The following is a 14414-nucleotide window of genomic DNA, read 5'->3' as shown; positions in this document are numbered from 1 at the left end:
AAACACACCTACTGCACTGCCAATCATCAAAAAAAAATTTTTGAGACGGACTTCCGCTCTTGTCGTCCAGGCTGGAGTGCAGTGGCATGATCTCGGCACTCCAGATCATTGCAACCTTCACCTCCTGAGTTCAAGCGATCTCCCGCCTCTGCTTCCCGAGTAGCTATTACAGGCATGAGCCACCATGCCCAGCTAATTTTTGCATTTTTAGTAGAGACAGGGTTTCACCATGTTGGCTATGCTGGTCTTGAACTCCCAACCTCAGGTGATCTGCCTGCCTTGGCCACCCAAAGTGCTGGGATTACAGGCGTGAGCCACCACGCCCGGCCCAGTTGTATACAATTATAGCACATACAATTATATATGGTACATATTACAAAAGTTTAAAAGTTAAAAAATTTAGAAAGTTTATAAAAGTACAGTAAGCTGTTAATTATTGAAAAAAGAATATTTTAAATCATAAACAATGTGGCCCAGGTGTGGCGTTTATAAAGTCTACAGTAGTGTACAGTAATGTCTTAAGGGCTTCACATTCGTGCACCACTCACTCACTGATTCACCCAGAGCAACCTCCAGCCCTGCAAGCTCCCTTCATGGTAACTACAGGTATACTGTTTTATCTTTTACAGTTTTCTATGTTTAGATGCACAGATACAAGCACTGTGTTACAATTGCCCAGGATATTCAGCACAGTAACACGCTGGCCAGGTCTGTAGCCTAGGAGCAACAATACCATCTAGGTTTGTGCAAGTACATTCTATGATGTTCCATGAGGACAAAATTCCTAATTCATGCTTGTAAGTGGGATGTATCTGGTCTAGAGGATAAGAAGTCAGCTATCTGAACAATGTGGAGAAGAGAGCTGCAGGGCAGAATAGCACAAAAAGACTTGAGACAGGAAAGAACTTGCCATTTTAGAAGGCACACAGACGGCCCATGGGGCTAAATGGTTGATTCAAATGAAAAGGCAGAAAACCAACTCATCCCTGTTAAGGAGTTTGAGTTTTATGCTCCGCATTACAGGAAGCTATTAAAGTTTTTTTTGAGATGGAGTCCCACTCTGTCACCAGGCTGGAGTGTAGTGGCACAATCCCGGCTCACTGCAACCTCTGCCTCCCGGGTTCAAGCGATTCTCCTGCCTCAGCCTCCCAAGTAGCTGGGATTACAGGTGTGCGCCACTACGCCCAGCTAATTTTTGTACTTTCAATAGAGACGGGGTTTCATCATGTTGGCCAGGATGGTCTTGATCTCCTGACCTTGTGATCCGCCCGCCTCGGCCTCCCAAAGTGCTGGGATTACAGGCGTGAGCCACCACGCCCGGCCTATTAAAGTTTTAAGTAGGGAAATGACATCAATTTATTTATTCACCTTAATTTAACTGCTGTGTGAAGAATGGATTATATAGGGTTAAACATGGAAGTTAGTCTCCAGCACCAATTGCTTCTGGTTTGTCTAAACCATAAAAATGCTGCATCTTGGCCAGGCGCAGTGGCTCACACCTGTAATCCTAGCACTTTGGGAGGCTGAGGCGGGCAGATTGCCTCAGCTCAGGAGTTCGAAATCACCCTGGGCAGCACGGTGAAACTCCATCTCTACTAAAAATACAAAATTTAACTGAGCATGGTGATGTGCCCCTGTAGTCCCAGCTACTCAGGAGGCTGAGGCATGAGAATCACTTGAACCCAGGAGGCAGAGGTTACAGTGAGCCAAGATTGCACCGCTGCACTCCAGCCTGGGCAACAGAGCAAGGCTATGTCCAAAAAAAAAAAGCTGTCAATATGCTAAGTTATAATTAGGTGCTAAGACTCAATATGAGTAGGTATTTCATGTTCTTTGCTCTTCAGAAAAAATCAGAAATCCAGTTTATTAAAATCCATGCCCAGGACCAGGATTTCTTACTTCAAGTATATCTTCAAAGCCATTAACTCAAAGTTTAAGGAAGAGCCCTGAGAGCAGGACTTGCAAAAACAGCCCATCATCTGAAAATGCCTTACTAGAACAGCACCTGTCTCACAACCAGAAATAAGAATGCCGGCCGGGCGCGGTTGCTCACGCCTGTAATCCCAGCACTTTGGGAGGCCGAGGCAGGCGGATCACCTGGAGGTCAGGAGTTCGAGACCAGCCTCAACATGGAGAAACCCCGTCTCTACTAAAATAGAAAATTAGCCAGGCATGGTGGTGCATGCCTGTAATCCCAGCTACTCGGGAGGCTGAGGCAGGAGAATTGCTTGAACCTGGGAGGCGGAGGTTGCGGTGAGTCGAGATCATGCCATTGCACTCCAGCCTGGGCAACAAGAGCTAAACTCTGTCTCAAAAAAAAAAAAAAAAAAAAAGAATGCCTATGAATTATTCTTCCTCGTGTCAGGGTAACACTACAGATAGTGATGAGTGTAAGCAAGCAGCACGAAGACCAAACCTCTTCTCTTCCCACACTTTGCACACTGTGAAGTTGTAGCTGTTAACTTTTATAATGTGTTTACCCAGTTCAGCTAAGCTTTTGCATAGAGGATCATCATTCTGCATTGTTTCAAAGCTGAAGGCCTGGCTCTAATTCTGGGGTTGGCAGAATGTAGCCTATTCCTGCACCTCATTTGGATAATGCTGGAAGCCAATCTCAGTGTCTTTCTGATAGTATAGTAGTCCAGGCTTCTCAATTCACACACAATGCTTAAAACTTGCTTTTGGGTACTAACTGACCAGATTAGCTACTGTGGTGGCCTCCAGTGAGAAGTTGAACTTTTTTTGCATAGCCAACCAAATCTTCTCACAGGCATTCAGAGTACACACTGCCATGACAAGACACTTAGGGAGACCCCTTAGTATCTTCCTCAACAACTTCTTTTTCTCAGTGCTAAGAGATGTGGAGCCCACAAGCACAAATATTAGAGGAAGGGTTCAAAGCAAATAGGCGCTGCTCCTTTCATCACCATCAGTTTTAGATGCCTAAAACATGTGCCTATTGCTAACACTCCTTCATTCAAAGAGAAAAACAAACTTTCTATGGGAAGCACCTGAAGATGACTAAATGTGCCAGTGAACAGTAATTTTTCTCAAGAAACAGAAATGTAATGAAAAGGTAATCTCGACCATACTTTTATTAAAAAACTGTATGTGAAGAAACAATAAATGGCTTTAGTCAGTTAATAACATTAATCAGATGCATCCAGCTACTGTCCTAAGGCAGTGCCAGGCTGGGAGCAGTGACTCAGGCCTATAATCCCAGCACGTTGGGAGGCTGAGGCAGGAGAAGCTCTTGAGGCCAGGAGTTTCAGGCCAGCCTGGGCAACATAGTGAGACTCAGTCTCTACAAAAAAACAAAACATTAGCTGGACGTGGTTGAGCGCACCTGCAGTCAATCCCAGCTACTCGAGAGGCTGATGTGGGAAAAATCACTTGAGCGCAGGAGTCTGAACTTACGGTGAGCCATGATCAAACCACTGCACTACAGCTTGGGGGACACAGTGAGACCCTGTCTCCAAAACAAAAGCTTGTGCCTAAGTGCTCAGTGTGATAAAGCAAACAATGTGGACAATTAAAATGTGCAAATAAATCTCAAACCCTTTTTATAATTCACTGGTGCCTCTGATGGAAGAAGCTTGTAAAATCAGGAAATAGGTTGTAAAGGGACTTACTTATCTGGATGCTCTGTATCTATGCTAAAGAGCAAGGAAATAGCAAAAGGACAAATGAAGAGCAGAAAGTCTAGATAATTGTGCCTGGACAATCAATCTCTGAATAACCAACAAGTGCCCAATACTGCTTCTAATTTCTCAGGAAACAAAAAAAGAACCAAACCTGTACTTCACAAGTTTGGGAAGGGATCATCTACCAATGGTTCCAAAACCTACTAGTGCATCAGAATCACTTGGAGAACCTGTTACAAATGATAGATGGCCAGGTATAGTGACCCATACCTGTAACCCCAGTACTTTGGGAGGCTGAGGTGGGAGGATCATTGGAGCCCAGGAGTTCGAGACCAGCCTGGGCAACATGCCAAAAACTCATCTCTACAAAAAAATACAAAAATTAGCCAGGTGTGGTAGCATGTACCTGTAGTCTCAGCTCCTTGGGAAGGTCGCTTGAGCCTGGGAGGTGGAAGCAGTTGTGCCACTGCCCTCCAGCCTGGGAGATAGAGTGAGACTCTGTCTCAAAAAGTTCTGTTTCTCCTCTCTCACTCTGATATGATAGGGGTCTCCATTACTAATAAACATCCAGAGCCCTAGGTAATTGTGCTCTGGTTGTCCTGGCCTCAGAGAACTACTGATCTACCAACACTCCCATGGTGAGGAAAATGTGGCTTAAAGAGACAAAATGAGTGAGTCGAGTGAGCCATGATCACACCACTGCACTACAGCCTGGGAGATAGAGAAAGTCCGTCTCAAAAAAAAAAGTACAGAAGGACGGGTCAAATCGTCTTCTATCTCTTCCCGCCCAGTAAAAGAGCAGTTGATATTTAAAAGAAAAAATATTTTAAAAATAGAAATATAATAAAAATTAAAAAACATAGAAGTGTTTATTTAAATTCAGATAGGTAAATTTAACATTACTTGAAGAGATATTAACCTAAAATCCAACTTTTCTTGTGTCCACAAATTTTAAAATTAAGGCTTAAAAAATTAGGTGAGGTTATTACACTAAGATGCATTTACACGCAAGTTTCATCAGTTGACTCCATGACTGCTACCCACTGCTTTTGTAAGCACAGATAGCCACCAACTATTTTTGTGACTTATGCTGAAGAAACATACTTTCTCTCGTTTACCACTTCTCCAGTCTCAAGACCTTAGGTAGTTCTCCTTTTGACTACAGTATCACCCACTCTATCCATGGGGTATACTCTCCAAGAACCCCACTGCATATCTCAAACTGTGGATAGTACAACATACGTACCTACACATACATACCTATGCTAAAGTTTAATTTGTAAATCAGGCACAGTAAGAGATTAGGAACAACACTGGTAAAACAGTAAGTTTTTGTCTTTTTCTTTTTTTTTTTTTGAGGCAGAGGAGTCTCACTCTGTTATCCAGGCTGGAGTGCGGTGGTGCGATCTCGGCTCACTGCAACCTCCGCCTTGCAGGTTCAAGTGACTCTCCTGCCTCAGGCTCCCAAGTAGTTGGGATTACAAGTGTGCACCACCATGCCTGGCTAATTTTGTATTTTTAGTAGAGACGGGGTTCACCATGTTGGCCAGGCTGGTCTCAAACTCCTGACCTCAAGTGATCCAACTGCCTTGGCCTCCCGAAGTGCTGGGATTACAGGTGTGAGCCACCAGGCCCGGCCAAGATTAAGTGTTTTTTAAAAACTGTATTTACAAAAGTTGTTATAGATTGTAATAAAAGTCACGTGAGGCCAGGCGCAGTGGCCCACGCCTATAATCCCAGCACTTTGGGAGGCCGAGACAGGTGGATCACGTGAGGTCAGGAGTTCAAGACCAGCCTGACCAACACGGAGAAACCCCGTCTCTACTAAAAATACAAAATTAGCCGGGCATGGTGGCACACGCCTGTAATCCCAGCTACTCGGGAGGCTGAGGCGGGATAATTGCTTGAACCCAGGAGACAGAGGTTGCAGTGAGCCGAGATTGCGCCATTGCACTCCAGCCTGGGCAACAAGAGCGAAACTCCATCTCAAAAAAAAAAAAATTATGTAACTGTGGTATCTCACTCTCAAAATACCTTTTTGCACCATAGTGTGTGGGTATGTGAAATGGCAGAAACCGTGGATAAGGGGGATTACTGTACTTTATTAAGTGTTGCTCCTTTTTAAAAATGAATGCTTCTTTATGAAGATTTGTATGCAGGGGATCTGTTATCTCAATGCTTACTATTGCATGAAATCATACTGTTTTATATCACATGATAAACACCAATAGCAGGGGGCGAGTCTTCTAGTACCGACTGAGGAGATTCCCTATCAAGAAACTCACAGAATTTTTTAAGTTTGTGTTAGGTAAACTACAAATATCTGAAAGTATTTCAACTTGTTAGGTTTTACACTCAAAAGGATAAGATTCTTTTGTTTCTTCCTGGTTAGGCTTTTTAGAAATTTCAAATCCCACAGCCAAGCTTGGACATATCTTGCCCATATCTAAATCAAGAGATTATAGCTATTGTTTGGTTTTAGAAACTTTGGTGCTATCAAGCCTAAGTATATGATTAAATGATATTAAATGCCAAACAATAAAAAATACTTCCCACAGGTATATATAGAGAGAGAGATTTTAAAATAATCATACACAACTTTTTAAAAGATTATATGGGGAATACTTACTTATGTAATCAACTCTAACTTTAGCCCTTCACAGCTGTATTATAACTTTATTTAACAACTTAGTAAAAGTCAAAATTGATGGTTCTTAACATTGTATGTTGAGAATATAAAGTGCCTAAAAAAGACACATTCTGCCCAATGCTAGTTCTTTCAATATTACCACCAAACTTCTGTGAAAGACTTGTAATGAAAAGAAAGACTAACTGCAACATGGAAGATGATTTTTAAAAAAGTTCATTTGCCAATTTTAACAATCTAGAAAAAAAGAAAAGTCTGACTATAATACTTGATGACACAGACATTATGTTTAAGTAGAAAACACAAGAATAAAAAAAGCAATTATCAGAAAATATTGCACAACTTCAGTTGTTTCCTCCAAATTTGCTTTATGTACTTGGGTGGATATAAATTAATAAACAGAAATTTAAGCAAGATACATGTAACAATTTAACAGAACCTGATAATCTAATTTCTTTCAATTTTTCTCAAATTCATCTTTAAGTCTTTCCATCATGGGGCTCATAAGGAAATTTAAGCAACATATGGATACTACAGTTGAATGTCAAATCTTTACAAAGTACTTATGACATACTACATTCCTCTATAATGCAATTATGAATAACCTTCATGACACTGTGTTTTGTATGTAGAAAACTGTTAGAGTTCAATATTCAACTCAATATAAAATAATAATAAGAAACACTTCTGATGTTAGGTTGAGACCACTTTTCCTTTTGCTAATGAATGATTTTTTTAGCTGTAATATCACTGAGGTGAACCAATAAGTCACCTTTGAGTACATATGAAAAAATAAACACATGCTAAATGGATAAAACATTACTACTACATCTTTACTAGACCATCTCTACCTCTAACACTTCAGAAGCTTAGAGATTTAAAGTATTCTTACATTAACTGCAAGAAACAAAGGAGAAATTCCTTCTTTTTTGAGATCACAACTATGAAGTCATATGGTTATACAAATTCTGCGTTTGTGTGCAAAACATAAAATACAATTATCTTTATTCTCCCTGCTTAGTTTTGTCAGTCAGCTAGCAGGATGTAATAGATACCTTTCCAAGAAACAGAGACTGAGATGTGTTTTGTATAACTTCAATAACCTCAGCACTACAGTAATGAGAGATGCAGTATCCTTTTGCTATGGTTCAAGACAAGAGGCAAGGAGGTCAGAAGAAAGAGAATAAATCAAAATTTTTACAACTGAGTAACTATTTCTCATTAGGTCTCACCACGGTGCCACCTTCATTTTTACATAAACGTGGTGGCATAATTCAATCTCAATAAATCAGAATTCTTAATATTTAAAATTTAACTTGACTTTCCATTATCACCATATTAACAACCAAAATAATTAGATAAAACACATAGGAAAGGGTAATATTAAACCCCACCTTAATAGAGTTGGTTTCTTGACACATTAACTTATTTTTTATAGAAAAGGGATAGTGCATCTCAGTTTGCTTACAAGCTAGGAGATCACTTTGAATTCTGCATTTCCTAACTGCAAACAGAATATAGCACTTATAACAGGTTATAAATAAACTGGTTTTCAAGCATAGAGCCAGCCCCAACGATAATAATACACTATTTAAAAAGACCTAAGGCAATGAATTCCATTTCCAATGGAAAAAAAGAACTGTGCAAACAAGCTTAAAACTACTTTTTTGTGTGTGCCAGTGTTATAAAATGTAGCTTTTAATAAAACCTTGACCCAAATGCCAGCAACTTCAGAAAAGAATTCGGGTGGGGAAGGGGAAGAGAAGAAAGTTATTTCATTTAGGAAAAATAACTACTATCTTTTTCCTAATCTTCAATACACACAATTTAAACAAATACAGCTGCTGTTAACACTTTACACAATTCCTATGTACTGGAGCAATAACAAGATCTAAATACAATTATATTTTTAAACATTGGGTCAAGGCTTTACATAAAAATACCATCCTACTTTTCCCACTAAGTTTCTAAAATATCACGTACTTTTTCCCCCAACATCTGCAGCCATCCAGGAATTTTAAGGAAACTTTTGTGCACGATCTTAATTCCTAATCCCTGGCTCTTTGGGCTCAGTGACAAAAGATCAAAACCACCAAAATGGTGGTTCACTTGAAGTCAGATAAGAGACCCTGGCTCAATTAGTCTCATAGGATGAAAGCAGTGCTGCATCAACTGGCTCCATGCAGGAGGGGCACGTGAAGGATCTCATCAACCAGTCATCTATACAGTCCAGGTGATAGATGTGCATGCACGGCAGAAATCGAATTGGGTCCCCATAAACAAAGTCCATCATACAGATCACACACCTGTTGAGAGCAATGGAGAGAAATCAGAAGGCATTTTCAGAAGTGTCCTATTCAGAAAACTCTTTAAATCCCATTAAAGACAGTGTTAATCTGAGTAACACATCAGAATGCTTTGCCTGTCATCTTATTGCCAAAGCATGCAAACTGAATTTTTTCCTAATGTTGATCTGTCCACAGTCTCTTATTTCAATCCCCTGAGAATTTGCAGGACTTAGGAGCAATCAACAGAGCAAAGAGAAATGGATTACATATGCATCAAATCTACTGCTGTGCTTGTAAACAGCTACATATTATAGCAGATACCTGAAGGAGAATGGGATTATTTTAGGTAGAAAAGCATCAGTTAGATCAACTTTGTTTTCTTGCACTATTTAGTGTAATCCTGGACTAAGACAATTTTCATTTTAGTAACTGTAAAACAGAAACACTAACTTCGGGCAACTTTGTTTCCTTGTGCTATTTAGAGTAATCCTAGAGTAAGATAATTTTCATTTTAATAACTGTAAAAACAGAAACACTAACTTCAGCCTACTTACTGGGTTGCTGTAAGTTAAAGCTCTCTTCATTAACACTAACTTTCTCTTATTTTACTTTATTTTACTTTTTGAGACAGAGTTTCAAGTGATTCTCCCACCTCAGCCTCCCAAGTGGTTGGGATTACAGGCGCGTGCCACCATGCCTGGCTAATTTTCGTATTTTCAGTAGAGATGAGGTTTCACCATGTTGGCCAGGTTGGTCTCGAACTCCTGGCCTCAAGTGATCCCCCGACCTCAGCCTCCCAAAGTGCTGGGATTACAGGCATAAGCCACTGTGCTCGGCCTGTGAAAATTCTTAATTACTACATAACATTCTCTTGCTAGTAGCCAGTAATAGAGCTATGAAAAAAAATTAAACATTCTCTTGCATTAAGCGAAGTGTTTCAATATATTAAATGTCTGACTTTCTAAAGTGCAGGAGAAAAGGCAAATTTTTCAAAAGCAATCTGAAAATAAAACTTTGAAATGTACAAATTAATTAAAACTTACTCCCGGATCTTTTTTTCTGATCCATCTCTTCCAGGGTCATAAACTCCTTTAGGCAGATGTTGTATAAGACCTATTCTTTGAGCTATCCTAATTTGTTCCTCTTCAGTCAGCTGAGTTGCTAGCCGAGTCTGGCTAGGTGTTGGGTGGTAGACTGGAACTGGAACTTGTTCCTAAAATATTAAAATATAGAGGAAAAAGATTATTTTTTAAAAACCTTTCGAGGGCTTATTTTTTGGTCAGAGATAGAAGGGAAAGGGAGCCCTGGGAGGGGTAGGAAGCTGGGCTAGTGTTTGGCTGTATGACTGTGTTTCACCCTGCCTTAACTTCAGCTACTAGAATAAAACATACACACACCAAAACATTCTCATTCTGCCTAAAGGATATAAACACAGACTTCACTGAACTGGCATGGAATGTTAAATGAACTATTTCCACATGATAAGAGACCAGCCTGGACAACATAGCAAGACCTCATCTCTAAAAATAATTTTTAAAACTTTTTAAATGGACTGGACTATGGCAAAAATAAATCTAAAAGTTATCTAAGACTAACTTTCCCATTTCATAGGACCAAGCTTGCCTACAGTCACTAATTGACAATACTGAAATTAGAATTCTGCTGCTCCTAATCCAACTGATTTTTTACACAACAAAACAATTCAAAGGAATCGTGTGTATAACCCCCACCTTTTTTTGAGATAGGGTCTCCCTCTGTTGCCCAGGCTTAAGTGCAGTGGCACAAACACAACTTACTGTAAACTCAACCCCCTGGGCTCAAGCAATCCTCCAACCTCAGCCTCCTGAGTAGTGGGGCCACAGGGTTGAGCCATGGTGCCTGGCCTATAATAATATTTAAAACTGAGCAACTCTGATGGAATGAAGCTGGGATGGAGTGTGGCCTAGAAGGGATGAGGCTCCCCATCCCCAAGCCCTCACCTTGGTTACCTTTGCAGAATCCTCAGAATCAACAGAGCAGTCTGAAAAACACTACTATCTCAGAAGATGAGATTTTCAGTCTGAAGAATTAAATTATAAGATTTCAGTCTCAGCTCGGCTACTTACTGTGATTGCTTGGACCAAGTCTCTTAATGTCTTTGAATAAAGCAGATAACAGTACCCACTTTAAAGAGTTGATATAATCATGAGATAACTAAGAGCTTTGTAAATGCCAATATTTGTAAATTATTCTAACATCTCCCCAACGTCATGATTCTCCCCATCATGATTCTCTGCTTTGCAGACTTTAAGCTAAGTGCTACTGTCCTTGGCTTTGGTCCTGGCTTTCTGGCTTCTCTTTGAATACTACAAACTCTTGGACTCTGTTGTGATCTCTGCCAGCTCTGAGTTCTTCAACCCTTGAATTACCATTTCCAGTCTAAATTACCTTCCTGAATCTTAGCCTCAGTCCTAGTTGACCAGTTTTGATGAGCTGTCATCCACACGCAAACTGGGAACAAATTGGTTTAAGACTAAGATAATATAAAGGGTCTCTTAAATCCTTGAACCTAACAAACAAAAATAACTAAATTGTTTTAGAGAAAATAAACTCCAACTATGGGTTTTTCAGAGGCTAGATTTCTTCAGTCTTGTGGTTCACATACGTGTAGAGAACACAGAAAGCAGAACAGAAAAGGAAAGTTCTACTTTACGGGGAAACATTAATAAACATTAAAGAAGAAAATAAAAACTATATTTTAATTCACGTTATGAGTGTATTTTCTCCTTTGGTATTTTTTTGTTAAAACAAAGGAACCCTCTCTATATCTTTTAGATATTTAAAATGATTGAACAATCTAATTTCAGTTTACATGGTTCAGAAAACCATAGAGGAAAGGAAATGACTAAGACCTCCTGATATTTTAAAGATGAATGTGGCCTCACCCTTCTTACCACACATGCCTAATTTTAAATTTTAATTCCCATGATACTTGTTTTAAAATGGCTTGATATCTGAGTTATCAATTGTTTCATAACTAGACAGCCACTGATTTTCTAGGCAGCAAAATGGAATCCTGATTCAATTGTTGGCTAACAGACACTGAGTGAGTAGAAGATTAGACAGGGGTATAAAAACAACAATTTTAAAAGATGTGATGGCTGGGCATGGTAGCTCATGCGTGTAATCCCAGAACTTTGAAAGGCCGAGGCAGGCGTATCACCTGAGGTCAGGAGTTCGAGACCAGCCTGGCCAACATGGTAAAACACCATCTCTACTAAAAATACTAAAATTAGCTGGGCGTGGTGGTGCACGCCTGTAATCCCAGCTACTCAGTAAGCTGAGGCAAGAGAACTGCTTTAACCCGGGAGGCAGAGGTTGCAGTGAGCCAAGATCTTGCCACTGTACTCTAGCCTGGGCAACAGAGAGAGACTCCATCTTAACAACAAAAAAAGATATGGATTTGGGGGTGGTTCCCACCATTCCCTATCTGCGAACACTATATGGTTTATGTTCAACACCTGCTTCCCCTCTGAGAATCAGGAATTTTGTCATATGCTAGGCAGTGGGTGCCTAATCAGTACCTGGGGCACTGAGTCTCCAAATGAGCTTCTCTGGCAGAAAACCTTTCATATATGTTGAAGGAATTAAGCATGTCCTGTGTGACTCCACTAGGAGATAACTCTTGGAAGCTTGTGCTTAGTTCCCTTTAGACCAAAGCACCTTTCCCCTTAGCTGATTTTGCTTTGATTCTTTGCTGTAACAAATCATAGATGTGAGTAAGATTATATACTAAGTCCTAAGAGCCCTCCTATTGAATCACCAAACCTGGGGACTGTTTTGAGGACCTCCAACGCCAGTGCTAGGTTGTGCTCCCACTTTATATTTGCAAAGCTACTGTGTTTCGTCCCCAGCTGAAAACAAATGAAAAATAAATAAATATTTTGATTAGCCTATTTCAGGGCCTAAATATGGACCTAATGACAAAAGGTATACAAACACATCTCACTGCAACCTCCAACTTCTAGGCTCAAGTAATCCTCCCACTGCAGCCTCCCCAGTAGCTGGGATTACAGGTACACAACACCATGCCCAGCAATTTTTTTGTTTTGGTAGAAACAGTGTCTCGCTGACCAGGCTGACCAAACTCCTGGCCTCAAGCGATCCTCTAGCCTTGGCCTCCCAAAGTGCTGAGATTACAGGTGAGAGCCACTGTGTCCGGGCTATGTGGGTAGTCTGATAAGGGCAGGGGCTATGTCTGTTTTGCTTACCAATGTTTACTACCTACTCAGCACGGTATCTGGCACACAGTTGGGACTCAACATAATTATATAACTGAATAACCTAAATCAAAGCACTTATGTTCTTGTAATATACATTATATACATATTAGAACTTTGTAGATATGCTATGAAAAATTGCTAATGCGCCTGGCACAGTGGCTCACGCCTGTAATCCTTGCAGTTTGGAAGGCCAAGACAGGCGGATAGCTTGAGCTCAGGAGTTTGAGACCAGCCTGGGCAACATGGTGAAACCCCGTCTCTATAAAAGATACAAAAATTAGCCAGAAGTGGTGATGTACACCTGTAGTCCCAGCTACCTCGGGGACTGAGGCAGCAGGATCGCTTGAGCCCAGGAGGTTGAGCTACAGTGAGACGAGATCACACCACTACACTCCAGACTGGGTGACAAAGTGAAAGAAAAAGAAAAAAGAAAAACTGCTAATGATTTGGATTAAATAACAATAAGAAAAAGAAAAACTGCTGTCTCAAAAAGAAAAAAAAAAGAAAAACTGCTAATGATTTGGATTAAATAACAATAAAACCAAAAAGGAAAACTTGATATAAATTACACCCAACATTCTCCCAAGTGAAAATACCTGGGTTGTTGTCTCTTTCAAAACTCCACCTACCCATCCCACAGGAACTTCAATAGGTCCAAAACCAAACCAAATATACTTCCTTCCACATGCCTCTCAAACTCAGAATTTCTATGCCCCCTACCTAGGTTAATGAACAAAAATACATAATGGAAAGAGTACAGGCATTCCCTGGAATTTCTGCTCTGGTATTTAATTATGTATGTGGCCTTACGCAAGCTTCTTAATATCTCTGAGCATTAAGGTTCCTCATCAGCATAACAGACAAAATACCTATCTTAATAAAGGGTTGGAGGCCAGATGCAGTCATTTAGCTCTGTTATCCCAGCTACTCTGGAGGCTGCGACATGAGAATTGCTTGAACCTGGGAGGCGGAGGTTGCAGTGAGCTGAGATCACGCCACTGCACTCCAGCCTGGCCCACAGAGCTAGACTCTGTTAAAAAAAAAAAAAAAAAAGTATTGTAAGGAATAAGCAGATAAGTAAAGCACTTACCAAGATAAGGGCTTACTTAATATATGGGCTCTTCTCTAATGACACCACTAGTCACTGGAGATAGACATCTCATCCTTCCTGATTCCTCTGACTTCCTCTCTTCCCTTTTCCACTATCATCTACTTAAATGTCTTATACAGTCTTACCTAACTACCATTTCCTCGTTGTTGATTAGGAGACACATGGGCTTGCCCTGTGAGTTTAAATTTCAAGATGGAATTCACAGAGAAGCAAATTTCAAATAAATTTAAACAATCTTTTCCTTAATACTTTCTTTAGTTCTCCATATGTCTGCATGCAAAAGAGAGAAAGAGCGAGAATCCAAAGGAAATCATCTGCCTTTAAGAAAAGGAGAAAAGGAATAATTTAAAATTAAAATATGCATTGTGGAAAAATGCAGCAGCATGGAAGGGGGTAGAATAGAAATGGAAGACAGGGTTATAAAATATGCTGAAGCAGGACAGAAGATACAGTCTTTTTTTT

At 40.2% G+C, this 14414-nt stretch overlaps 1 protein-coding gene across 1 annotated transcript in view, besides 1 other annotated feature; it reads right to left on the bottom strand.

The window, feature by feature from the left end:
- Positions 1 to 6300: 6300 nt before the first annotated feature.
- The window catches only part of RNF11 (ring finger protein 11), a 37175-nt gene continuing 29061 nt past the window's right edge, over positions 6301 to 14414 (bottom strand). The window contains exons 2-3 of the mRNA NM_014372.5: positions 9623 to 9792; positions 6301 to 8597 (exon numbers count right to left, since the gene is read on the bottom strand). Of these exons, the coding sequence (NP_055187.1) occupies positions 8426 to 8597; positions 9623 to 9792 (342 nt within the window). The 3' untranslated portion in view covers positions 6301 to 8425. The remainder of the gene's footprint in view (positions 8598 to 9622; positions 9793 to 14414) is intronic.
- Positions 13897 to 14191: a silencer, noted in NCBI's record as "tiled region #5693; HepG2 Repressive non-DNase unmatched - State 23:Low". NCBI's record gives its function as "represses a minimal TATA promoter and a strong SV40 promoter by Sharpr-MPRA in HepG2 cells {active_cell/tissue: HepG2}" and the evidence as "EXISTENCE:reporter gene assay evidence [ECO:0000049][PMID:27701403]".

The sequence above is a fragment of the Homo sapiens genome, chromosome 1, assembly GCF_000001405.40.
Source record: "Homo sapiens chromosome 1, GRCh38.p14 Primary Assembly".
NCBI lineage: Eukaryota > Metazoa > Chordata > Mammalia > Primates > Hominidae > Homo > Homo sapiens.
Note: the sequence above shows the minus strand (reverse complement) of the source record. Positions and strands in the feature narration are given on the sequence as shown.